This window comes from Homo sapiens, chromosome 8 (assembly GCF_000001405.40).
Source record: "Homo sapiens chromosome 8, GRCh38.p14 Primary Assembly".
NCBI lineage: Eukaryota > Metazoa > Chordata > Mammalia > Primates > Hominidae > Homo > Homo sapiens.
This window is the reverse complement of record NC_000008.11, coordinates 81827033-81852938: the sequence shown is the minus strand read 5'-3', so window position 1 is coordinate 81852938 and position 25906 is coordinate 81827033. Positions and strand designations below refer to the sequence as shown.

Here is a 25906-nt window from a genome sequence, read left to right as displayed (position 1 = left end):
GTTATCTGTACACCCTTACTTCTTGAAAGTATAATTCTCCTTGGCTTCCTAGATATGGGACTATCAGGTTTTCCTCATCACAGGTCTCTTTTGCTGCCACATTCTCGGCTCGCTGTAACCTCCGCCTCCCGGGTTCAAGCAATTCTCCTGCTTCAGCATCCCGAGTAGTTGGGACTACAGGCGCGTGCCACCATGCCTGGATAATTTTTTTTTTTTTTTTGTATTTTCAGTAGAGACGGAGTTTCACCACGTTAACCGAGATGGTCTCCGTCTCCTGACGCCGTGATCCGCCAGCCTCGGCCTCCCAAAGTGCTGGGATTACAGGTTTAAGAACTCAAGGATATAATTGCCACCACAAGGCCAAGACTGCCAAGTCTATCCTGAAAACTACCTATGTTTTAGTCTACTTGTTACTGGTTGAGGGTAGTTGTCCAGGTTCTTGATGTTTTGAACAAAGAATTGGACAAAACGCACAAACAAGGCAGTGAAAGCAGAGAATTTTAATGAAAGTACACTCCACAGGGTGGGAGTGTGCACGAGCAAGTGGCTCAAGTGCATCTGTTACAGAATTTGCTTGGGTTAAATGCCTTCTAGAGATTTCCCATTGGCCCACAACCAGTCTGATTTGTTGTGGGAGGGGACCAATCAGAATAAAGAATAGACCCACAACCAGTCTAATTGCTTGTGGGAGGGAATCAATCAGAGGCACTTTCATTTTTCTTTTTTTTTTGCCTTTATCCATTCATCTATTTTTTTATTTTATTTTATTATACTTTAAGTTCTAGGGTACATGGGCACACATGCAGGTTTGTTACATAGGTATACATGTGCAGCGTTGGTTTGCTGCACCCATCAACTCATCATTTATATTACGTATTTCTCCTAATGCTATCCCTCCCCCAACCCCTCACCCCCACAACAGGCCCTGGTGTGTGATATTCCCTGCCCTGTGTCCAGGTGTTCTCACTGTTCAATTCCCACCTATGAGTGAGAAAACGCAGTGTTTGGTTTTCTGTCATTGTGATAGTTTGCTGAGAATGATGATTTCCAGCTGCATCCATGTCCCTGCAAAGGACATAAACTCATCCTTTTTTATGGCTGCATAGTATTCCATGGTGTATATGTGCCACATTTCCAGTCTACCACTGATGGACATTTGGGTTGGTTCCAAGTCTTTGCTATTGTGAATATTGTCGCAATAAACATACATGTGCATGTGTTTTTATAGTAGCATGATTTATAATCCTTTGGGTATATACCCAGTAATGGAATCACTGGGTCAAATGATATTTCTAGTTCTAGATCCTTGAGGAATTGCCACACTGACTTTCACAATGGTTGAACTAATTTACACTCCCACCAACAGTGTAAAAGCATTCCTATTTCTCCACATCCTCTCCAGCATCTGTTTCCTGACTTTTTAATGATCACCATTCTAACTGGCGTGAGATGGTATCTCATTGTGGTTTTGATTTGCATTGCATTTCTCTGATGACCAGTGATGATGAACATTTTTTCATGTGTCTGTTGGCTGCATAAATGTCTTCTTTTGAGAAGTGTCTGTTCATATCCTTTGTCCACTTTTTGATGGGGTTGTTTTTTTCTTGTAAATTTGCTTAAGTTATTTGTAGATTCTGGATATTAGCCCTTTGTCAGATGGGTAGATTGCAAAGATTTCCTCGCATTCTGTAGGTTGCCTGTTCACTCTAGTGATAGTTTCTTTTGCTGTGCAGAAGCTCTTTAGTTTAATTAGATTCCATTTGTCAATTTTGGCTTTTGTTGCCATTGCTTTTGGTGTTTTAGTCATGAAGTCTTTGGCCATGCCTACGTCCTGAATGGTATTGCCTAGGTTTTCTTCTAGGATTTTTATGGTTTTAGGTCTTACATTTAAGTCTTTAATCCATCTTGAGTTAATTTTTGTATAAGGTGTAAGGAAGGGATCCAGTTTCAGCTTTCTACATATGGCTAGCCAGTTTTCCCAGCACCATTTATTAAATAGGGAATCCTTTCCCCATTTCTGGTTTTTGTCAGGTTTGTCAAAGATCAGATGGTTGTAGATGTGTGGTCTTATTTCTGAGGCCTCTGTTCTGTTCCATTAGTCTATATCCCTGTTTTGGTACCAGTACCATGCTGTTTTGGTTACTGTAGCCTTGTAGTATAATTTGAAGTCAGGTAGTGTGATGCCTCTAGCTTTGTTCTTTTTACTTAGGATTGTCTTGGCTATGCAGGCTCTTTTTTGGTTCCATATGAACTTTAGAGTAGTTTTTTCCAATTCTGTGAAGAAAGACATTGGTAGCTTGATGGAAATGGCATTGAATCTATAAATTACCTTGGGCAATATGGCCATTTTCATGACATTGATTCTTCCTATCCATGAGCATGGAATGCTCTTCCATTTGTTTGTGTCCTCTTTCATTTTGTTGAGCAGTGGTTTGTAGTTCTCCTTGAAGAGGTCCTTCACATCCCTTGTAAGTTGGATTCCTAGGTATTTTATTCTCTTTCTAGCAATTGTGAATGGGAGTTCACTCATGATTTGATTCTCTGTTTGTCTATCATTGGTATATAGGAATGCTTATGATTTTTGTACATTGATTTTGCATCCTGAAACTTTGCTGAAGTTGCTTATCAGCTTAAGAAGATTTCGGGCTGAGACTATGGGGTTTTTCTAAATATACAATCATGTCATCTGCAAACAGGGACAATTTGACTTCCTCTTTTCCCAATTTAATACCTTTTCTTTCTCTCTCTTACCTGATTGCCCTGGCCAGAATTTCCAACACTATGTTGAATAGGAGTGGTGAGAGAGAGCATCCTTGTCTTGTGCCAGTTTTCAAAGGGAATGCTTCAGTTTTTGCCCATTCAGTATGATATTGGCTGTGGGTTTGTCATAAATAGCTCTTATTATTTTGAGATACATCCCCATCAATACCTAGTTTATTAAGAGTGTTTAGCATGAAGGGCTGTTGAATTTTGTCAAATGCTTTTTCTGCATCTATTGAGATAATCATGTGGCTTTAGTCATTGCTTCTGTTTATATGATGGATTATGTTTATTGATTTGCATATGTTGAACCAGCCTTGCATCCCAGGGATGAAGCTGACTTGATTGTGGTAGATAAGCTTTTTGATGTGCTGCTGGATTCTGTTTGCCAATATTTTATTGAGGATTTTTGCATTGATGTTCATCAGGGATATTGGTCTCATTTTTCAACTGCCACAGAGAAGGAGAGGTCGTAAAGAGAGTAGCCTCTGATATCCAGTCAGCATGAATAAACCTTAGGTTCCCTGCTTCCAGACCCTATTTTCCTGCCTCATATTCCCCCTGAGAGATGTGATTCCCATAAATCTTTATGGGAAGCAGAGGGATTGATGGTCTTTCTTCTGTAGCTGCTTCATGCTAACTTGGGGTGCAATCCCTACCTATTGCTGATCATGGAAATTTTTCCCTGCTCTATCCAGTGGAGGCAGGGTAGTTTATTGATCGCTGGGGGTGCTATCTTCATTTGGAACTGGCTGGCAATGTTGTTGCATGATCATATGAAGCTCAATGGTCTCTAGGTGAGAGGAAATGAATTTGGTTAAAAGATCTAATGGGAACTTCAGGGGGTGGATACCTATGCTATCAGGAATGTTTGTTATAGGGAGAAATTAAAACATTCTGCTTAATTGCTACAAAGGGAGTGATTCCAAACATTTGAAAAAAGAAAAACTGCAAAAATATATAAAAATATGGCTATTATTATCCAGCCAAATATATAAAAATATGGCTATTATTATCCAACCTACAATAACTATGCAACAAAAACACCAAGGAAAGTTGGTAGGCATTTACTTATCTTTTGGCTGTCTTCTAAACAGGCACTTCAGGTCTTCCACAGGTTCACAGGTGTAGTGGCTGAAGGAAACTTCAGGTTCCAGGTCTGAGGCTTCAGGTATCACAGACTTGATCCTTGAAAGATGTATCCAATTATTTAAATCCTAATACTTTGACCATGGAAAGCATGGCCAGCACCACTGAAAATGTTCCCTTCCATTTGGGCTGTAGTTGTTGAGCAGGCGATCCCTCCTTCCAAGTTTTAACAAGTATCTTATCTCTTGGCCTGATTTTGGGATGCTGGTTAGCTCCTGGTATGGGGAACCTTTGAGTTCCAAACTTTTGTGAAAGCCTGCTGAAATTGTCCATTAACTAGGTATTTCACTAAACCAGCTGTTTCTGGATCAGTAATTAGATCATTAGTTAAGAATGGCCTTCCGTATAACATTTCATATGGGTTTATGTTAATTTTTGCTCTAGAGGTATTGCAGATCCTTAAGAGGGCTATAGTCAGTAAGCTGACCCAAATTTCTGATGTTTCCTAACATAGCTTACCTAATGCTTGTTCTAGAGTTTGGTTAACCCTTTCTACTTTCCCGAAGAATTGAGTCCTCCATGCTGAATGTAAATAGTATTTGATTCTGAAGGTCTTAGCGACCCCTTTAGTTATTTGGGAGATAAAGGATGGGCCATTATCTCTTTGGAGACTCTGAGGTTACCCAAACTAAGGGACTATTTATTTGTAAGAGAAACTTTATAACCTCAATAGCCTTCTCTGTTCTGGTAGGATAAGCTTCGACCCAACCAGTAAAGGTATCTATCAGGACTAACAAAAACTTGTATCCTCTACAAGCGGGCATTTGGGTGAAGTCTAATTGACAGTGTTCCCCTGGGTAAGTTCCTCTCCTCTGGACTGATTCTATTAGAGGAAGCATTTTGTTTCCTGGACTGTTAAGTGCACACAGTGAGCAGGATTGACAGACCTGCTTAACCACTGAATCTAAGTTAGGCCCAATGAAGAGCCTGTTAACCATGGCCAGGGTGGCATCTCCACTGGGCTGTTTGAGGGAGATTTAGTTTGATTCCATATACCACCCGGATACTTATTTTTGTCCCCCTTGTTCCTTTATTAACTGTTCTTCCTATAGCGTGTATTCAGGATCCATTCAGGAATCATAGAAAGGAAGCAGTGCTAGGATCTGTTGGGATTGCACCCTGAGGGATACGGCTTTAGCTTCTCTATCAGCCCTTCTGTTCCCTTGTGCTATAGGAAGTAAGTCCCTTTGATGCCCCCTACAATGGATTATAGCTACAGCCTTTGGCAGGTGTATTGCTTCCAACAGCTGAAGAATTTCAGGCCCGTGCTTTATTGGGGAGTATTTGCTATTTAGTAGTCCCTTTTCTTTCCAGATTGTAGCATGAGCATGAAACATAAGGAACGCATATTTAGAATCTGGATAGATGTTAAGCTTTTTCCTTTGTCTCAACATTAGTGCTCAGGTAAGAACAATGATTTCAGTATTTTGTGCTGATGTGCCAGGGGGCAGTGGCTGGGCTTCAATAATGGTGTTGTGATTTACCATTGCATATCCAACTCAGCACTCCCCATTTGACACAAAACTACTGCCATCTGTGAACCAGTTATCTTCAGAATCTGGGAGAGGCTAATCTTTTAAATTAGGCCAGCTAATATATGTGTGTACAATGACCTGCTCACAGGAATCATCAGTTATTGGGCCTGTGGGTAGCAATGAAGCTGGATTCAAGGTGTTACAAGTTTTAAGGGTTACATCTGGATTGTCTAGCAGCATGGCCTGGCATATGTTTAACCTTTCCTCCATCATCCACATGTGTCCTTTTATCTCTAAGACTGGCTTTACCTGATGGGGGGTTAGAACTTCCAGTGGTTGGCCCAGGGTGATTTTAGTGGCTTCCTCCACAAACATAGCAGTGGCTATTGCCTGCAGGAAACTTGGTCATCTCGAGGCTGCTCCATCCAACTTCCTTGAAAAGCAGGCAGTTGGTCTGGGTTCTGATCCTAATTTCTAGGCTAGCACTCCCACAGCTACGCCCTTCTCAGCTACATACAAGAAGGGCTTAGTTATGTCTGGGATGCCAAGAGCAGGAGCCTGGTAAGGGCCTATTTTAGCTTGGTGAAGGCTTCTCATTTCTGGGGTCAATTCCGTTAGCTCATTTTCAGGCCTCCTTGTTGCTTCATATACGAGCTTTGCTACAAGCCCCAAATTTGGTACCAATATTCTGCAAAACCCAGCCATTCCCCAGAAAGAACAAAGCTGCGCTTGGTGGCTGTGGGGCAACCACATATGGCTTGCACTCATTCTGGGGATATTTGTCGGGTTCCCGGTGTTAAGACATACCCTAAATATTGGATCCATTGGAGGGTAATCTGAGCCTTCTTTTTGGACACTTCACATCCTCTGTCAGCCAGGAAATTCAACGTTTTTATAGTATTTTGGTCAGAAGCCTCCTGGGTTGGGCTACACACAAGAAGTTCAACCACATACTGGAATATACTTCCATTCTCCAATTGCAGATCCCTCAGATCCCTCTCTACAGATCAGGCTAAGAAATCAGGGCTATCCTGAAAGCCCTGAGGGAGTACTGTCCAAATGTATTGTTTTTTTTTTTTCTGGTATTAGGATTTTCCCATTCAAAGGCAAAAAGGTATTGGGATTCTGGGGCCAGAGGAATAGAGATGAAAGCATCTTTTAGGTCTAGGAGAAACATTTTGCATCCCCTGGCACCTAAGCCAGGAGGGTATATGGATCCACCACCAATGGGTGGACGGGGATAACAGTGTGATAAATTATTCTGAAATCCTGTACTAGCAGGTATTCCCTCAAGGGCTTTAGAATGGTTAAGATGGGGGTGTTTCAGGGAGAATTGCAGGTTTTTAAGAGCTCATGGGTAAGCAATATCTCAACTATGGATGCCAGGCCTTTTCTTGCTTCCAGCTTAAATGGGTATTGTTTTCAATTGGGGCAATAGCTGGGGTCTTTAAACTGGTATTTTGACTGGCACTGCTGTTTTAGCTTTCCCTGGTGATATGGTTTGGCTGTGTCTCCACCCAAATCTCATCTTGAATTCCCACATGTTATAGGAGACACCCAGTGGGAGGTAATTGAATCATAGGGGAAGGTCTTTCCCTTGCTGTTCTCATGATCATGAACAAGCCTCACAAGATCTGAGAGTTTTATAAGAGGGAGTTTGCCTGCACAACCTCTCTCTTTGCCTACTACCATCCACGTAGGATGTGACTTGCTCCTCCCTTGCCTTCCACCATGATTGGAGGCCTCCCCAGCTATATGGAACTGCAAGTCCATTAAATTTCTTTCTTTTGTAAATCATCCAGTCTCGAGTTTGTCCTTATCAGCAGTGTGAAAATGGACTAATACACCTGGCTTCCCAGCATAACATGCTAGCAGGTTAACCTGTTTATTAATGTGGTCTGGGATATTGTCTGTATTTTTGACTATTAGCAATTTTACTGGGTAATGCTTAAATTTGTAGTAGTGCCCCTATTTTAATGATAATATCGCTTCCCAACAGGTGGACAAGGCAGCTTGGAACTACTAAAGATTTATGTTGGAACATTTGTTTCTCAAACTGACAAAGGAGAAGTAAAGAATCTCGTTTGTGGCTTTCCTTCCATTCCCGGAACACTCTTAGACTGGGAGGAAAGTTTTCCTGCATAAGCAGTAAGGACAGAGTAATTCGCCCCTGTATTGGAAAAAAAAAACTGAATTTGGGTACCCATGACATCTAGTTACCCAGGGCTCTGCAATAGTAATTATGATGTTCCTGGACAGGGGCAGTGAGGAAGACTCTAGGCCCCTTCAGTCTTCATCTAATTCCTCCTTTCACACTGCTAGACTTTTGCCTAACTGAGCCCCTTGGTGGGAGCGGGTGCAGTCAATCCTCTAGTGCCAGAGACCCCTCTTAGTACATTAGACGTCTCTGACCTTAGATTGGTGCCACCACCACTTTGGAATGATTCCAACCACCACTGATGACCCACTGTGAGTTTTCCCTCTTGTCCCTGGATGAAGGTCTCTACTTCTAGAATTAACTTTCAGACAAACCTTTGGATTTTTTTTCCTATCACACTTAAAACAATTCTTTAACTTTCTAAATTTGGACAAGATTAAATTGTACATAGATTCCCTTTCATGAATCCCCTCCATGAGTTACACAGACCACAATATGCCCAAACTCTGTGACTTATCCTTAGCCAGTCAAGTAGGGGGACGGAAGAATTTAACATAAGGAAAGAAGGCTTAAGCCACCTGAAACATGTGTGAATTTTCCCTGGACAGGCTGCCACTGCCAATTGCATCACTCATAGGCATCAGGGACTACAACTGGAAAAGACAGAAAAGAGTCCTTCCCCTTTCTGGGCAAGGCAGCTATCCCCATTCACTCCTGGGCCTTCAGTTAACACCAGAGAGTGGCCCCAGTTGCCTTCAGTTACCAAGGAGCTACTAGGAAATGGCCACTGAAAGACTGAAAAAGAAAAGAACTCAGGTTCCTCACCTGAACCAGGTGGTGGCAGTCAGGTGCTTCCACATGGACCTTTTAGTTTCACCAGAGAGTGGCCCTGGCCAGAAACCTGCAGTTGCCTCCATGCTTAGGCACTGTCCATCAAGGATCCCAGCTTGGAAAGGAAAAGGGAGAGAGAGAAAGAGGAAAAAGAAAAATACAAATCCCAAACTTTGGGCTTACCTTCTGGCTGGCTCACCAAAATATGTTACCAATTGAGGGTAGTTGTCCAGGTTCTTGGTGTTTTGAACGAAGAATTGGACAGAACACACAAACAAGGCATGGAAAGCAGAGATTTATTTTAAATGAAAGTATACTCCACAGAAGGAAAACAGACTCAGTCAAGGGGTTCAAGAGCATCAGCTACAGAATTTTCTGGGGCTTAAATACCCTCTAGAGGGTTCCCATTGGCCTATGCCCAGTCTGATTGGTTGTGGAAGGAGACCAATCAGAGTGAAAAGTAGGCCCTCAACCAGTCTGATTGGTTGAGGGAGGGGCTCTATCAGAGGTTCTTTCATTTTTCAACTGCCACCCAAAGAAAGGAGGGTTGCAACTGCCACGCAGCAACTGCCACGCAGAAAAAAGAGGGGTTGAAAATGGAGTCGCCTCTGATATCAGTCAGCATGAATCAGCCTTAGGTCCCCTGTTTCCAGACCCTATTCTCCTACCTAACATTGTTTCTACAGAATTCTATTTTTATTTCATTCACACTAAAAGGGCAGAATCTCTTAAACCAAAACCATCATCATGTCACAAACCAGACTATTTTCCAACCTTCATTTCAAAATGACCACTATCACCTTTTCTCACTCTTAGTCGGGCAGTAGAATAGGGTCCGGAGGCAGGGAACCTAAGGCCCATTCACGCTGACTTCCTAGAACTAAATCAAAAGGAAAACTCCAACTTTCCAAGCCCAAGTAACAAAAAGACCAGAGGCTATTCCCTTTGCAACCCCCTGCCCAACCTTCTAGGCCCTTGGTATCTGGGCCTAGTCTTCATTTCCATAGGAGTACAACTTTGTAACTTAACTTTAGCCTCTGATTGGTTGCAGGCTACTCCTTAATTTACAGAGGGTGTAAACCAAGTAACCAATGGGAAATCTCTAGCGGATATTTAAACTCCAGAAAATCCTGTAACCAGGGCTCTTGAGCCACTGGCTGGAGGCCATTCCCACTCTGTGGAGTGTACAGTCATTTCAATCTCTGCTTTCCTTGCTTCATTCTTTCCTTGCTTTCTTTGTGCGTTTTGTCCAATTCTTTGTTAAAAAAACCAAGAACCTGGATGACTTGTAGTCAAGACCCTCCATGGGTAACATTGGGACTATACAAAAGCCTTAGAAATCGTGGAATGATTTTTCAACCACATTATCTGATTCTAATGATGAACAGACCTGTAGACCGGTCTGAATCTTGGGATTTGCCTATCAAAAAACTCGGCTTTCCCTACTGCACAGGTCTTCAGAAGCGCATGTCTAACAAGGCTAATATTCCATCATCGGGATCAAATTGCTCACCGGATAGTAAAAAGACACTACAGAATTTCAGGGGTTCTCTGCCAATGAGAACTTCTGAATTATGTAGAACGGATCAGCTACTAAGCAGTGTTCTATCTTCCTACTCTTCTAATCGATTGTCATCCCTTAAAGCGCTGCTAATTCTAGAAAACAATCTATAACCTGTTAGAATCAGCGCAAGCTGGTGATGACTACAAGTCCCATGATGCAAAGTATGAGCACGGACCAATGTTGGTCGCAGTTCCTTCTGGGAATTGTAGTCTTCTCCTGTTTGGCAAACTAGGTATTGTAGCCTCCATTTCTCAGAAGTTCAGTTGGAAAACTAAAGATAGTGCAGAGAATGTCGATTTCCTGCCACAAGATTACATTTATCTTCGCTACCTGAGCGCCCAGCCGATCAACTCCAGTCGCTCCTCCGGTGGGCGGGCGCCCATGCCGTGACATCACTTCCGGCAGAGATGTGTGTGTGACGCTCTCTCTCTCTCTCTCTCGCTCTCGCTCTCTCCCTCGCTCGTTTTCTTTCTCTTTCTCTCTCTCTCTCTCTCTCTCTCTCTCTCTCTCTCTCTCTCTCTCTCTCTCTCTCTGTCTCTCGCTCTTGCCCTCTCTCTCTCTCTTTCTCTCTGTCTCTGTCTCTCTCTCTCTCTCTCTCTCTCTCTCTCTCTCTCTCTCCCTCCCTCCCTCCCTCCCTCCCTCTCTCTCTCTCTCTCTCCCCCCCCCCCCCCCCCCGCCCAGTTCGGCCCCTCCTTCCACACAGCAGGGATCTTGGGCCCGGGCAGAGACTGGCTGAGGCGGGGAGCAGCTGCTTTTGGGGCGGGGGTGTCACGTGAGGCTTCTCGCTGCTGAGGGAGGAGGCGAAAAGCTGCGGTTAAGGAGAGTCCGGTTTAACCGTCACCGGGAAGCGCGCTCGTTCGGGATCGCCGAGGGGGCTGAGGTAAAGACTGGGTCATTACCTCAGGACAGGCGGTCGCTGTCCCGGGTTCTCGTACGGGTGACACCTGCAACCTTGATGTCTGGCGGGCGGCAAGGGGCTCCGCGGGAGAGTGGAGAGGCGCCGCAGGAAGCCCAGCCACCTTCAGGCCACCGCCGACCCCACTGTGCGTCTGGGAGGCGCTGGGCGCGCACCGGTCAGCGGAGGCGGGAGAGTCTGTGATCCCAGGGAGCTGCGGGTCTCGCCGCCTGCAGTGCGGAAGACCCGTGACCGGCGCAGACCCCGGCCTTACCTTCCGAGGGTCGAACTGTGCCTGGTATTTGCCTCTTTCCTCCCGCCCACGGGGTTGCTCAGAGTCGGGCCACCTCACCTGAGGTTTTCCAGAGTGAGAATGAACTGAGCGTCCTGGGAGCAACTCCGCATCAGGGTAGAGGCGAAGACGCTCCTAATGAGCACAGCACGTTTTTTTGTTTGTTTGTTTGCTTGTTTTGTTTTTTTAACGCTTGGGTAGCGCTCACATCTTCGGACGTCAGTGGTTGTGTTGATATGTATTGATATGCGACCTCCCCCCAGCCAGGCGGCCTCAGGTAGTAGAGTGGCAAAGGCCAGGTAGATCCCTCGGACCTTGAGAAGGTTGAGATTTCAGACTTACTTGTTTTTGGGGAGGCCGTCAGGCGGAACCGAGGAGCGGTGAATCAGCAGCTAAAGTTTCATGAATCTTTGATAATGGGGAAATGTTGCCGAGAGCCACTTGAGTTAAAAATCTTTTTTTTTTTTTTTTTTGAGACGGAGTTTTCCTCTTGTAGCCCAGGCTGGAGTGCAATGGCACGATCTCGGCAAACTGCAACCTCCGCCTCCCGGGTTCAAGCGATTCTCCTGCCTCAGCCTCCCAAGTAGCTGGGATTATAGGCCTGCGCCACCATGCCCGGCTAATTTTTGTATTTTTAGTAGAGACGGGGTTTCACCATGTTGGCCAGGCTAGCCTCGAACTCCTGACCTCAGGCGATCCACCCGCTTCATCCTCCCAAAGTGCTGGGATTACAGGCGTGAGCCACAGCGCCCAGCCCAGAGTTAAAAATCTTATTTCAGCATCTTTCCAAGTCCAGGTGACTCATTTCTTACCTTTCCCACCAGTAGAGTTTCGTATGAAAAGTTGGGCAGTTATTGTTGTGTGTAGTCTTGTCATTTTGTTGGTCTGTAGTTGTTACAGTTTCTTATGAGTTTATTATTTAACAAAGTAATAGTAAACCATTTCTTCTTTGTGTTATGATACTATTCTGACACAAGATATACTGGTCCGTTTGATAACAGATTCTTGAGTGTAAGTTATAAAGATTTAAATACCCTCAGTTTATCGTAGAGCAGAATTAGTGATGACCTGTAAGCTGTGAAGAACGGTTACAATTTTCACTATTTAATTTTGTTGCATATAAGTTCAGTGTTCACTGGGTTTTATTTGAGTAACTTGACCAAGTGTGTATTTTTAATCCTGGGTTCTATAGAATTATACTATGTAGCATCAAAGCATCTGGTTCATTGTTACTACTCTGTGTAAATCTTTATAGTTTCACTAATTAAATTGAAAGGTAATGTGAATAGATTTCCTCCCTTTCTGATTAAATCCAGAGGTAATGTAAATAGTTTTCTTCCTTTTCTTTTTTCTCTCTTGTACTGAATGTAGTACTGTCAAGATGATAAGCATGGAATAAAGCTTCAGAAGGGTCTTTACCAATCTTTCTCCTACCAACTTTTACATACATGAAATCAGGTTAAAATGAACTTTACAGAAATACTTCACAAGGGAATAAAGTAGAGGAAAAAGGGATAACATGTAACATGGAGTCAAGGAAAAAGAGTGTGAAGTAGTTTTGCTCTCTCTATCTTGCAAATAGGAGTCCTTAAAGACAACTGGGAGAAGGGGTTTGAGGTATGTTTTCATTCCAAATAAAATAATAGTGTCATAAAATTGAAAAGAATACTTTTCTTTTGAATCCTGCTGCACATTAAAGACTAACCTTTTAATATGTCCTTTTCATTTTTAGATAGTGAATTCCTAAGAAGAAAATAATGGATTGCATATTAGTTGTTCTCTAAGTGGACTCAACAGTGTGCAAGCTTGTTGGAAAAGCCAAAAGAAGATGGCAACTCCTTATGTCCCAGTTCCTATGCCCATAGGAAACTCTGCTTCCAGTTTTACAACAAACAGAAATCAAAGAAGTTCTTCTTTTGGCAGTGTCTCAACAAGCTCAAATTCTTCTAAGGGCCAGTTAGAAGACTCAAATATGGGTAATTTTAAACAGACAAGTGTTCCTGATCAAATGGATAATACTTCATCTGTCTGTAGCAGTCCCCTCATTAGGACTAAATTTACAGGTACAGCTTCTTCCATTGAGTATTCTACTAGACCAAGAGACACTGAAGAACAAAATCCGGAAACAGTGAATTGGGAAGATAGACCATCTACACCTACTATACTGGGTTATGAAGTGATGGAAGAAAGAGCTAAATTTACTGTAAGTATTGACTTCTGCTGTATAACACTACAAAGTGAAAGATTGGCTAATCTCTGTGTTCAAACCAGTGTTAAATTAATGTAAACTTGTACTTATAATTTCTTGAATATGAAATTCTAATGGTTTTTACACCACTGAATTCTATCATGTTGTAGTAAACTTTTGCTTTACCTTAATAAATTTTCACAAACCAGACACACCTATGTAACTATTAATAGCACATAAATCAAGGAAAAGAACGTTACTAGAATCTTAAATGCTCTAGGTTCTCTGCCAGTCAGGACCCATTCACCCAATACTTTTGTATAGCCTAGATTAATTTTGCCTATTTTTGTACTTTATCTAAATGGAATTATATACTCTTTTTGCATCTGGTCTCTTTTCTTTAGCCTTGCCAAATTACATGCCCAGCTTTAAAAGATATTGGTGAACAGTGTTTCAGAATGGTTGTACTGATTTATACTCCTAAAAGCAGCATATAAGAGTTCCAGTTGATCCATAGCTTCCTAACATGTGATATTTTAACATTTTTATCATTTCAGCTGTTCTCATGGGTACAGAGTAATATCACATTGGTTGTGGTTTTAATTTGAATTTTCTTAATGACTAATTGAATTTAAAATTTTTTTGGGCTGTTTGGATATTCTCTTGTGAAATATCTGTGCATGATTTTTGTTCATTTTTCTTTTGGGAAGTCTCCCTTTTGATTTGTAGTTTTCTGTGCACTTTGGATATAATTTTTTTTTCAGATACATGTATTATGACTATCCTCTCACTCTGTGGTTTGCCTTTTCAATTCCTTAATAATACATTTGATAAACAAAAGTTCTTAATTTTAATTTGGCTTGATTTATTACTTTTTTTAATGGCTAGCACTTTTTGAAATCTTTGCCTACTCCAAGGCTACAAAGATACTGTCCTATGTTTTCTTCTAAAATCTTTATTGTTGGACCTTTCACATTTAGATTCGTAAACCACCAGAATTGATTTTTGTCCATGGTGTGAGGTGAGGGTCAAGTCTTTTTTTTTTTTTTTTTCCAGATGGGACCAATTAATCAGGCTTTTATTTGAAAGACCACTCTCTCTCCTCTTCATTTTCAGTGTTGTCTGTGTCATAAATCATGTGACCATAAATGCATGGGTCTGCTTCTGTGTTCTATTTTTTCATCCTTTACTAATTTCACACTGTCTTAATTAATAAAGTCTTATAATAGGTCTTGATATGTAGCAGTGTATGTACTTTAGCTTTTTTCTTCAGGATGGCCTTGGCTATTCTTCACCCTTTGCATTGAGATTTTGTTAGATCTATAGATTAATCTGGGGAGAACTGACATCTTTACTGAGTTTTCAAATCTATGAACCTAATCCATTTACTTAAGTCATTTTTTTCTAGTAATGTTTTGTTGTTTTTGGTGCAGGGTTCTTACATCTGTTGGTTAGATTTATTTCAGGATATGGATGTTGTTTGATGTTCTTGTGAGAGACATCTATTTTTGTTTTCTATTTACTGCTATTTTATATAATTTGTCCTTTTATGTTTACATATCCAGCAACCTTGCTCAACTCTCTTATTAACTCAAAAGGTTTACTTTTTTGGTAAGACTTTGTTCTTTTAGTAAAGTTTAATGTTTACTTCAATGTTTCATGCTGTAAATTTATGACAGGATGGGAGGACCTCCAAGGAAAAATTGTTGAGATAATTTATGAAGAGGCAGTCTTTAAAATTATCATAAGACTGTGATATAGGAAATCTTCAGGGAACTCTGTCTCTCTCTCTCTTTTTAGAAAATTTTTAGAAAATATAAACTGATGGCCAATTTCCTGAATTAAGAAATAGGCATTTATTGAGTTGATACTATGGTCTGAATGTGCGTTCCTTCAAAATTCATATGTTGAAACCTAACCTTCAAGGTGATGGTATTAAGAGATGGAGCTTTTGGAAGCCAGTAGGTCATGGGAGCAGAGCCCCCATAAATAGGATTAGGACCCTTAAAAAGAGGCCCCAGAGAGCTTTTTGTCCTTTACACATCTGAGGACATAGCTATAAGGCACCATCTATAAACCAGAAAGTAGGCCCTCTCCAGATACCAAATCTGTTACTGTCTTGATCTTGGACTTCTCAGACTTTAGAACTTTGAGAAATAAATTTCTTTGTTTACAAGCTACCAAATTTATGGTATTTTGTTATAACAGACCTAACAGACTAAGACAGATGATATGTGTGAAGATGCAAGTATTTGGCCAAATACAAGGTGGTGTTATGTAAAGCATTTCAAGAGACTGGAGAGGAGGAAGTAAATGACAGATATGAAATTAGTCATATTCATTTATTTATTAACTCAACATTTTTTTAATTACCTATTATGCCTCAGGCACTGTTCTGGGTAATAGTGGTACAGCAATTTGAATGAAAGCATGATAAGTAAGTAAATAATAAGACGCCTGATATGTCACATGGTGATAAGCACTATAGAGAGAAATAAAACAGAGAAGGAAGACAGGGAGTTTCCCCAAATCTGGGGTTGGGATTTAAATAGCACTATCAGTCATGGCCTCACAAAAAGATGTTAGTGCTAACAGGGAATGAGCCATGAGAATGTGTTTTCAACACAGATGGGACAACTACAAAGATCCTTGTGGCTGACAGCAGAGTAAGCTGTGGGAGGTGTAGGGAATGAGATGACAGGCAGGGAAGTGTGGCACACAGATCACATAGGGAAGGAGGCACTGTGAAGACTTTGGATTTTACTCTGCATGAGATGAGAATCTTTTAAAAGGTTTTTAAAAGAAGAGTCATGTGATCTGACAATGTTTTAAAAAGTTCATTCTGGCTACTGAATTGAGACTGGTTTGGTCGAGATGGGGGACAGTCAAAGCAGGAAGCAGTTAGTAGGTTCTTTTAGTAATCCAAGGGAAACATGATGGTAGTGTGGACTGGGGTGGTGGAGGAAGTCCTGAGAAGTGATCAGGTTCTGGATTTGTTTTAAAAGTAGAACCGGCAATATTTCCTAATGATTTGGAAGTGGAGTGTGGGAGAAAGAGAGGTCAAAGGTGACTTCAAAAGTTTTGGCCTAAACAATGGGAAGATATGGCTGCCATTTAATTAAATGACAGGTTTTGAGGGATGATCAAAATTTGTTTTTAGACATGCTAGATTTGATATGTCTGTTCAACATTGAAATGGAGATGTTACATGTGTTAATGTGTACACATACATATGTAATGTGTGTGTATACATATAAGCTGAGTTTAAGGGAGAGGTATAAGCTGGAGATACAAACTTGAGAATCTTAGGTTTGTAAAATAATTTTTTCTAGATATATTCTTTTGAATTGCTCTCATAACTGAAAAAAGTATTAGGACTCACTCTTGATCTGATAATATATAAGGTGTCTAGTCTTTAAAAAGGTTGTTTAAAGACAAAAATTGACTAGGATGTGTAGTGAGTAGAATTGGGAAGGAAGCATGCTATGGACCTCTTTGATTGGTAATGTTTCATTTCTTGCTCACTGATATGGTTTGGCTGTGTCCCCACCTAAATCTCATTTAATTCCCATGTGTTGTGGGAGAGACCTGGTGGGAGGTAATTAGGAAGTATAGCTAACTTGCTTTTGATTTTACAAGCTGATAGGCAAAAGGGACTTGCCTTGTCTCAGATGAGGGACAAGGGGCAATCATTGGGGCAGGTCTTTCCCATACTGTTCTTGTGATAGTGAATAAGTCTCACAAGATCTGATGGTTTTAAAAGCGGGAGTCTCCCTGCACAAGCTGTCCTCTCTTGTCTGCCAGCATGTGAGACTTGCCTTTCACCTTCCATCATGATTGTGAGGCCTCCCAGCCATGTGGAACTGTAAGTCAAATAAACCTCTTTCTACAGTCCAGGCTGAGGTAGTCTTAGTTGGAGATGAGGAACTTGTTGGGAAATGGAGAAAAGGTAATTCTTGTTAGGTTTAGCAAAGAGATTGGCGGCATTTTGCCCCTGCCCTAGAGATTTCTGGAACTTTGAACTTGAGAGGGATGATTTAGGGTATCTGGCGGAAGAAATTTCTAAGCAGCAAAGCATTCAAGAGGTGACTTGGGTGCTACTAAAGGCATTCAGTTTTATAACGGAAGCACAGCATAAAAGTTTGGAAAATTTGCAGCCTGACAGTGCAATAGAAAGTAAAATCCCATTTTCTGAGGAGAAATTCAAGCTGGCTGTAGAAATTTGCATAAGTAATAAGGAACCCAATGTTAATCCCCAAGACAATGGGGAAGATGTCTCCAGGGCATATGAGAGGTCTTCATGGCAGCCCCTCCCATCACAAGCCCAAAGGCGTAGGAGGAAAACGTGGTTTTGTGGACTGGGCCCAGGGTCCCTGTGCTATGTGCAGCCTAGAGGCTTGGTGCCCTGCGTCCCAGCCGCTCCAGCCATGGCTGACAGGGGCCAACATAGAGCTCAGGCCGTGACTTCAGAGGGTGTAATCCCCAAGCCTTGGCAGCTGCCACATAGTGTTGAGCCTGTGAGTGCACAGAAGTCAAGAATTGAGGTTTGGGAACCTCTGCCTAGATTTCAGATGATGTATGGAAATGCCTGGATGCCCAGGCAGAAGTTTGCTGTAGGGGCAGGGCCCTCATGGAAAACTGCTGCTAGGGCTGTGTGGAAGGGAAATGTGGGGTCAGAGCCCCATACAGAGTCCCTACTGGGGCACTGTCTAGTGGAGCTGTGAGAGGAGGGCCATCATCCTCCAGGTCCTAGAAAGGTAGATCCACCAACAGCTTGCACCATGCACCTGGAAAAGCCACGGCTCATAAAAGCAGCCAGGAAGGAGGAGGGCTATATCCTGCAAAGCCCCAGGGGTGGAGCTGCCCAAGGCCATGGGAGCCCACCTCTTGCATGAGCAGGACCCAGACATGAACTAGACATGGAGTCAAAGGAAAGTATTTTGGAGCTTTAAGATTTGACTACCCTGCTGGATTTCAGACTTGCATTGGGCCTGTAGCCCCTTTGTTTTAGCCAATTTCTCCCATTTGGGATGCTTGTATTTACCCAATGCCTGTACCCTCATTGTATCTAGTAAGTAACTAGCTTGCTTTTGATTTTATAGGCTCATAGACGGAAGGGACTTCTTGTCTCGTATAAGAATTTGGACTGTGGACTTTTGAGTTAATGCTGAAATGAGTTAAGTCTTTGGGGGACTGTCTGGAAGGCACTATTAGTTTTGAAATGTGAGGACATGAGATTTGGGAGGGGCCAGGGGTGGAATGATATGGTTTGAATGTGTCCCCACCCAAATCTCATCTTGAATTCCCACATGTTGTGGGAGGGACCCAGTGGGAGGTAATTGAACAATGGGGGCAGGTCTTTCCCATGCTGTTCTTGTGATAGTGGGTAAGTCTCATGATATCTGATGGTTTTAAAAATGGGAATGTCCTTGCACAAGCTCTCTTCTTTTGTCTGCTGCCATGTGAGATGTGCCTTCACTTTCCACCATGATTATAAGGCCTCCCTAGCCACATGGAACTGTAAGTCCAGTAAACCTCTTTCTTTTGTAAATTGCCCAGTCTCAGGTATGTCTCTCAGCAGCATGAAATGGACTAATACACTCATAGTACTTTAGGTGTGTTCATTTTGTGAAATTTGTCAAGTTGTACGCTTATGAATTGCACACTTTTTGTATATATTTTATAATTCAAAAACAACTACATTAAAATAAAAACAGTACAAGGAAATACATATGAAACTTCAAATAAAGAGTAGAAACAACAACAGTTATTGGAATATAGAGAAGGGAATGATCAGTACTGTTCATAAAGTTTTCATTGAAAGCACTACTTAAACAAGTAGAAAGCACTTTCTAGAAGAGATAGAACACAAAAGTCGTATTTTATCTTGCTAGAGAAACAGGGGTATTCAGTGGCCACAGTGGAGAGTAGCTTATTTAGAAGGGGGAGTTCATTTTCTAAGACAAGAAAATAAAGTCAGTATGTATTATTTGTAGATATTCCTAATTATTATATGAAGTGCACTTTTATCCTGTATCAGTCATTCATACTCAAAAGTTTTAAAGTCGACTTCTCTCTTCTTTTAATGAGTGACTCCTAAAAAGAATTTCTTTTGTATTCCCATTGCAACTTTTTTAGATCAGGACCTTCTGCTGACTTTAAAGAGTATCCGAGTAACCTTGTTTCCCACCCTTAGATGTTACAAAGATAAATTGCTTTATTTTTTTAAACTTCAAAGCTAAAGGATTTATCCTTAACTCCTCCTTATTCTCTCCCTTAAAAGCTGAAAGAGAAGTTTGTATGGGAGAAAAATCAAAGGGTAAGGATAATCTATAGTCCCTAACTAATGAATGGTCTTTAGGGCAGCACTGTCCAATAGAAGTATAATGTGAGCAGTAATTGTGAATCACATCTGTAATTTTAAATTTCTTAGGAGCCACATTAAAAAAAAAAAGAAATAGGTGAAATTATTTTATTAATATATCTTATTCAACCTAATATGTCCAAAATATTATCATTTTAACATGTAGTTAGTATTAGACCATTTTAATAAAAGCTGTTTACATCTTTTTTCACATTAAATCTTTGAAATTCAGTGTATATGTTGCACACTACGCACATCTCAATTTTGACTAGTCACACATTGAGTGCTCAATTGCCATGTGTGACCAAAAGTGCAGCTCTAGAGCTGCAGTTGAAAATTGTTGCACAGCAAATGTCCAGAAAAGAAGTTACTTTTTTAAAGAGAGTTTCTTATTCAGCAAATATTTATTGAGTATCTCGTATGTGCCTATATGTAGCTTAGTGCAAAATACCGTATCAAAACTACTAGATGCTTCTCTGAGATTCTATCATAAATAACACTTTCTCTTAATACATTCTAAAAGCATACTTATAAAAAATAGAATCCACTTTTTCCTTAGGTGCTTTTAAAAATACATTGACTTGCTTCAACCAAGTTTTTCTACTCAGTAGCCTACATAATTGTACATAATTACAAAAATGTAAATTTTATTCAGTTGGGGTTTTTTGGTATTTCAAGCTTATATTTTGCCCTATTTTACAATAATTTCAACTTTCATTTTAGATTCAAAGGATACATGTGCAGGTTTGTTACATAGGTATATTGCGGGATACTAATGAACCCATCACCCAAGTAGTGAGCATAGTACCCAACAGTTTTTCAACTCCTTCCCCCCTTCATCCTTCTCCACTAGGAGTCCCCAGTGTCTATTGTTGCTATCTTTATGTCCATGAGTTCCCAATGTTTACCTCCCACTTATAAGTGAGAACATTAGGTATTTGGTTTTCTGTTCCTGCATTAATTCACTTAGGATAATGGCCTGTACCTCTATACATGTTGCTGCAAAGGACATGATTTGATTCTTTTTTATGGCTATATAGTATTCCATGGTGTATCTGTACCACATTTTCCTTATCAAATCTATCCTTGATGGACAGCTAGGATGATTCCATGTCTTTGCCATTGTGAGTAGTTTGTGCAATGAACATGTAAGTGTATATGTCTTTTTGGTAGAACAATTTGTTTTCTTTTGGATATATACCCAGGAATGGGATTGCTGTGTCAAATGGGAGTTCTGTTTTAAGTTCTTTGAGAAATCTCCAAACTGCTTTCCACAGTTGCTGAATTAAGTTACAGTTCTACCAGCAATATATAAGTGCTCTCTTTTCTCCATAACATCACCAGCATCTGTCATGATAATGACTGATAGCCATTCTGACTTCTGTGAGATGGTATCTCATTGTGGTTTTGATTTACATTTTTCTGATGAGTAGTGTTGTTGAGCATTTTTTTTATGTTTCTTAGCTGCTTGTATGTCTTCTTTTAAGAAGTATCTGTTCATGTCTTTTGCCTACTTTTAATGAGGTTATTTGTTGAATTGTTTAAGTTCCTTTTTTTTTTTTTTTTTTTGACGGAGTCTCACTCTGTCACTCGCTAGAGTGCAGTGGTGTGATCTTGGCTCACTGCAACCTCTGCCTCCCAGGTTCAAGCAATTCTCCCATCTCAGCCTCCCGAGTAGCTGGGATTACAGGCACCCACCACCACATCTGGCTAATTTTTGTATTTTTAGTAGAGGCGGGGTTTCACCATACCATGTTGACCAGGCTGGTCTCAAACCCCTGACCTCAAGTGATCTGCCCACCTCAGCCTCCCAAAGAGCTGAGATACAGGCATGAGCCACTGCACCCAGCCTTGAATTGTTTATGTTCCTTATGGATTCTGGATATTAGACCTTTGCCAGATGCATAGTTTACAAATATTTTCTCCCATTCTGTAGGTTGTCTCTTTATTCCATTGATAGTTTCTTTTGCTGTGCAGAAACTTTATTTTAATTAGGTCTCACATCAAGTTTTGTTTTTGTTGCAGTTGCTTTTGAGAACTTAGTCATAAATTCTTTCCCAAGGCCGATGTCCAGAATGGTGTTTCATAGGTTTTCTTCTGGGACTCTTATAGTTTGTGGCCTTACCTTTAAATCTTTAATCCATCTTGAGTTAATTTTTGTATATAGTGAAAGATAGAGCTCCAGTTTCATTTTTCTGCATATAGCTAGCCAGTTATCCAAGCCCTGCTTATTGAACAGGGGATCGCTTCCCTATGCTTATTTTTGTCAACTTTGTCAGAGAACAGATGGCTGTAGGTGTGCAGTTTTATTTCTGGGTTCTCTATTATCTTCCATTGGTTTATATGTCTGTATTTGTACCAGTACCATGCTGTTTTGGTTATTGTAGGCTTGTAATATAATTTGAAGTCAGGTAGTGTGATGCCTCTGGCTTTGTTCATTTCACTTAGGATTGCTTTGGCTATTTCAGCTCTTTTTTGGTGCCATGTGGATTTTAGAGTAGTTTTTTTCTAATTCTGTGGAGAATGATGTTGGTAGTTCGATAGGAATACCATTGAATCTATAGACTGCTTTGGGCAGTGTGGCCATTTTAATGATATTGATTCTTCCAATCCATGAGCATGGAATGTTCTTCTGTTTCTTTGTGTTATCTGTGATTTCTCTTTTTTTTTTTTTTTTTTTTTTACCCCCTAGACGGAGTCTTGCTCTGTCGTCACCCAGGCTGGAGTGCAGTGGTGCAATGTCAGCTCACTGCAAGCTCCGCCTCCTGGGTTCATGCCATTCTCCTGCCTCAGCCTCCCAAGTAACTGGGACTACAGGCGCCTGCCACCGTGCCCGGCTAATTTTTTTTGTATTTTAGTAGAGATGGGGTTGCACTGTGTTAGCCAGGATGGTCTCGATCTCCTGACCCCCATGATCCGCCCACCTCGGCCTCCCAAAATGCTGGGATTACAGGTGTGAGCCACCACACCCGGCCCTGTGATTTCTTTCAGCAGTGTTTTGTAGTTCTCCCTGTAGAGATCTTTCCTCTCCATGATTAGATGTATGCCTAGGTGGTTTTTTTGTGTGTAACTACTGTAAATGGGATTGCATTCTTGATTTGGCTCTCAGCTTGAATGTTATTGGTGTATGGAAATACTATTCATTTTTAAACATTGATTTTATATCCTGAAATTTTACTGAAGTCCTTTATCAGTTCCCAGAGCCTTTTCGCAGAGTTTTTAGGGTTTTCTAGGCATAGAATCACATAGTTTGACTTCTTCTTTTCCTATTTGGATGCTTTTTATTTATATCTTGCCTGATTGCTTTGGCTAGGACTTCCATATTTTATTCTTGGCAATAAAAACATTGAACTTATTTGAAAACTTTGCTTGATAGTTATTAAGTTTAAAAATTGTGTAGAACAAAAGTGGCTATTTTTCATAGCTTCTTCAAGTATAATTTTTTAATCAATTTTAGAATATATTGACATAAATCATGTTTTGGAAGCTGATGAGTTTATTGTTAGTGTGCACAGAAAAAGCGTTTTGTCTCAAATCTGTTATATTTCCTAAGGAAAAAATCTGGCTTTTGGTGCCTGCATTGATTATTTGTACTTTTGATAATTTAAATGATTTTTGATATTTTTTACATAATAATTGTTATAGTCTGGGTTATCAAGTAAAATTTTTTAAAATATTTGGCTTGAGTTTTTAAATATCTTTACTTTTATATTTTTCTCTCCGTCTGTTTTTCTTCCTGTGCATAGGTATATAAAATACTAGTAAAGAAAACCCCAGAAGAAAGCTGGGTAGTTTTCAGAAGATACACTGACTTCTCTAGGCTTAATGACAAAGTAAGTACTATAATAAATCCAAACTAACATTTCAGTTTTGAATTCTTTTCTGTTTCCTATACTTCTGTTATATTTTTTCTTTGTTAATGAGTCAAATTCATTCTAGTTCATAAGAAAATTAATTTTTTAAATAAATTTTTAAAATAAAAATTTTTAGCATAAAAATGTGAAACTTTAAAATTGCCAACAGAAATATAAATAATTATCTTGTGAGTCTGAAAAAGATGTGTATAAGATCTTTTGAATTATTATAAAATTATATATGTCTATAAGATAATGAACAAAAACATATTTAACATATTGTATTAGTTTCCTATTACTGCATAATAAATTACCACAAACTTTGTTGCTTAAATTAACACCTGTTTATTATTTAGTGGTGTGGGTGGGTTCAGCTGGGTTCCTTGCTTAGCATCAAGCAAAGTCAAAATCAAGCTGTTAGCTGGGCTGGGCACTTATCTGGAGGCTCTGGAGGAGAATTACCTTCCAAGCTTATTCAGGTTGTTGGCAGAATTTAGTTTCTTGAAGTTGTAGGGCCAAATTTTCTGTTTCCTGGCTGATTGTCAGCCAGAAATCATTCATACTTCATAGAGACTACTCTCCAGTCCTTGTACATAGCCCCTCCATCTTCAAAGCCAGCAACAGTGAGCCAAGTTCTTCCTGTACTTTGAAGCTCTTTGACTTTCTCCTCTGCCACCAGCTAGAGAAAACAGTCTAAAGGGATCAGGTGGTAAGATAAGGCTCACCCAGATAATCTTAGCTTAAGGTCAATTGATTAGTAACCTTAATTACAGCTGCAAAATCCTTTTTCTATGTAACATAATAAAATCACAGAAGTAACACCAGAGGCAAAGATCATGGACCATCTAGAATTCTGTCTACTGTGCATACAAAACAGAAGAATAATAAACCTCAGTGTATTAAGAACCCTTAAAACTAAATTAGGAAAGTGAACCCCAAAGTAAAAAATGCAACAAACAGTATGAGCAGGATAATTCACAGAAGAAACATAAATGATCAATAAACCTGGAAAACACTTAATATCACAGATACTCCAAGAAAAGGAAACTAAGACACTCTTTTTCACCTGTCAAGCTGACAGATATTTAAATGATAATACCCAGCGTTGGAAGTATGAATCTTCCTAGGGGATACCCAAAAGTTTTGCATAATTTAACATAATAATCACATTTCTAGGATTTATCATATATAAGTAGTCATAAACATGGGAAATATTTAGCTTTAAGGGCACTTACCACAGTGTTTTGTATATTGTTTTGTTTATCTGTGTTTTACTTTGCTTTTAGTAGTTAAAAGTTGGAAGCAACCTAAATTTCTAAAAGTGAAGAATTAAGTAAATTATTATTAGAATATAATAGCAAAAGAAGAGCTGCCTTGTCCCCAGAGCTAGAGGAAATTTAGATGGGGCAGGAGGCAGAGGGTGTGATATTTTGGAAGCCAAGAGAAAAATCATTTATCTAAAAGAAGCAAGCAGTTCATTATGCTTCTGAGAGGCCAAGTAAGATGATCTTAGAACATGCAGAAATTACTCTCCAATTTTGACAGGTGTTTAATAAGAAAGCTGTACTGGTCCTGTTCTCTCCCATTTGTGACTTGTCCTTTCCTCCTTCTTTGGACTCCTTGAAGCTTTAAAGTTAGTATATTTTTATAGTGTTTGGTGATGGGAAACCCATGTAACTTTGTAGTTATTTAGCTGCCAAATTTTTCTGCCACTGTAAAAACCTCAGTTTAAATGAAAAGGTAAAATATGGAATGCTAAATTATTTTATCCATTTTAAGATTTGGTTAAGATGCTTTCTTGTAATATGCCAAAATAAAGTGTTATTTTTAATGTATACCTACAGTTATATATGAATTTTATTTACTGTTCCTGAGCTTCATATATTATACTGATGAATTTGAAATCTATAATTCTGTACTTCTGTTAATTTTTTTAAATGACTAAACAAGCCGAAAGATAAAAGCAATTCATGAAGTTACCTGATAGTTAAGTGGAATACTTAGTTTTTAATGAAATTATTACAATTTTGATCATGCAGACTAATTTCAAACAGTTTCATTGTAGACCTATTTAATCCTTTATGAAAAAAAATCCATTATTTTTCTTTTCAGACTATACTGTTATTTAGTGTTTACTTCCTATTATCTCTTTAGATTTCATCTTTATTGCTGAAGTATTTTCTTAGGCAAGCTGAAATTTAGATAAATCTTTTAGAAAAAAGATGATAGGAGTTTAATTTAAATTTAGTAAATATCTCCTTGATCCTCCAAGATGGGCATTTAAAATTAATAAGTGTTTATGTTGGTGTTATAGGTACCAGAAAGAGCTCTACCCATCAGTTGCTTTTACTGGCAATATTTTTAAAAAGTATGTCA

At 39.9% G+C, this 25906-nt stretch overlaps 1 protein-coding gene and 1 long non-coding RNA gene across 22 annotated transcripts in view, besides 5 other annotated features; one reads left to right on the top strand and one right to left on the bottom strand.

The window, feature by feature from the left end:
- LINC02235 (long intergenic non-protein coding RNA 2235) overlaps positions 1-10320 on the bottom strand; it is an 81042-nt gene extending 70722 nt beyond the window's left edge. For 2 of the 9 annotated variants that reach the window (NR_170317.1, NR_170312.1), the window contains exons 1-3: positions 10268-10320; positions 8368-8488; positions 3832-3948 (exon numbers count right to left, since the gene is read on the bottom strand). This is a non-coding gene — a long non-coding RNA (long intergenic non-protein coding RNA 2235). Of the gene's footprint in view, positions 1-2751; positions 2875-3419; positions 3554-3831; positions 3949-8367; positions 8489-8556; positions 8610-10048 lie in introns of all 9 variants that reach the window. The other 7 variants (NR_170319.1, NR_170313.1, NR_170318.1 and 4 more) reach the window with 6 other exon arrangements.
- Positions 10070-10339: an enhancer, noted in NCBI's record as "active region_27586". NCBI's record gives its function as "activates an Ori minimal core promoter by ATAC-STARR-seq in GM12878 lymphoblastoid cells {active_cell/tissue: GM12878}" and the evidence as "EXISTENCE:reporter gene assay evidence [ECO:0000049][PMID:35858748]".
- Positions 10748-11680: an enhancer, noted in NCBI's record as "NANOG-H3K27ac-H3K4me1 hESC enhancer chr8:82753494-82754426 (GRCh37/hg19 assembly coordinates)". NCBI's record gives its function as "activates a minimal SCP1, AML or CMV promoter by ChIP-STARR-seq in primed H9 embryonic stem cells {active_cell/tissue: H9 hESC(primed)}" and the evidence as "EXISTENCE:reporter gene assay evidence [ECO:0000049][PMID:30033119]".
- Positions 10754-25906, top strand: part of SNX16 (sorting nexin 16) — a 42603-nt gene continuing 27450 nt past the window's right edge. For 2 of the 13 annotated variants that reach the window (NR_145474.2, NM_022133.4), the window contains exons 1-4: positions 10754-10817; positions 12496-12741; positions 12857-13327; positions 23423-23509. Coding sequence is in view for 8 of the 13 variants with exons in the window: in NM_022133.4 (NP_071416.2) it covers positions 12953-13327; positions 23423-23509 (462 nt within the window). In the remaining 5 variants the exon portion in view is untranslated. Of the gene's footprint in view, positions 11402-12495; positions 12742-12856; positions 13328-23422; positions 23510-25906 lie in introns of those variants that run through there. The other 11 variants (NR_145472.2, NM_152836.3, NR_145475.2 and 8 more) reach the window with 8 other exon arrangements.
- Positions 10771-10820: an enhancer, noted in NCBI's record as "active region_27585". NCBI's record gives its function as "activates an Ori minimal core promoter by ATAC-STARR-seq in GM12878 lymphoblastoid cells {active_cell/tissue: GM12878}" and the evidence as "EXISTENCE:reporter gene assay evidence [ECO:0000049][PMID:35858748]".
- Positions 11151-11200: a silencer, noted in NCBI's record as "silent region_19332". NCBI's record gives its function as "represses an Ori minimal core promoter by ATAC-STARR-seq in GM12878 lymphoblastoid cells {active_cell/tissue: GM12878}" and the evidence as "EXISTENCE:reporter gene assay evidence [ECO:0000049][PMID:35858748]".
- Positions 18879-19079: a silencer, noted in NCBI's record as "peak7089 fragment used in MPRA reporter construct". NCBI's record gives its function as "represses an SCP1 promoter by STARR-seq MPRAs in K562 erythroleukemia cells {active_cell/tissue: K562}" and the evidence as "EXISTENCE:reporter gene assay evidence [ECO:0000049][PMID:32103011]".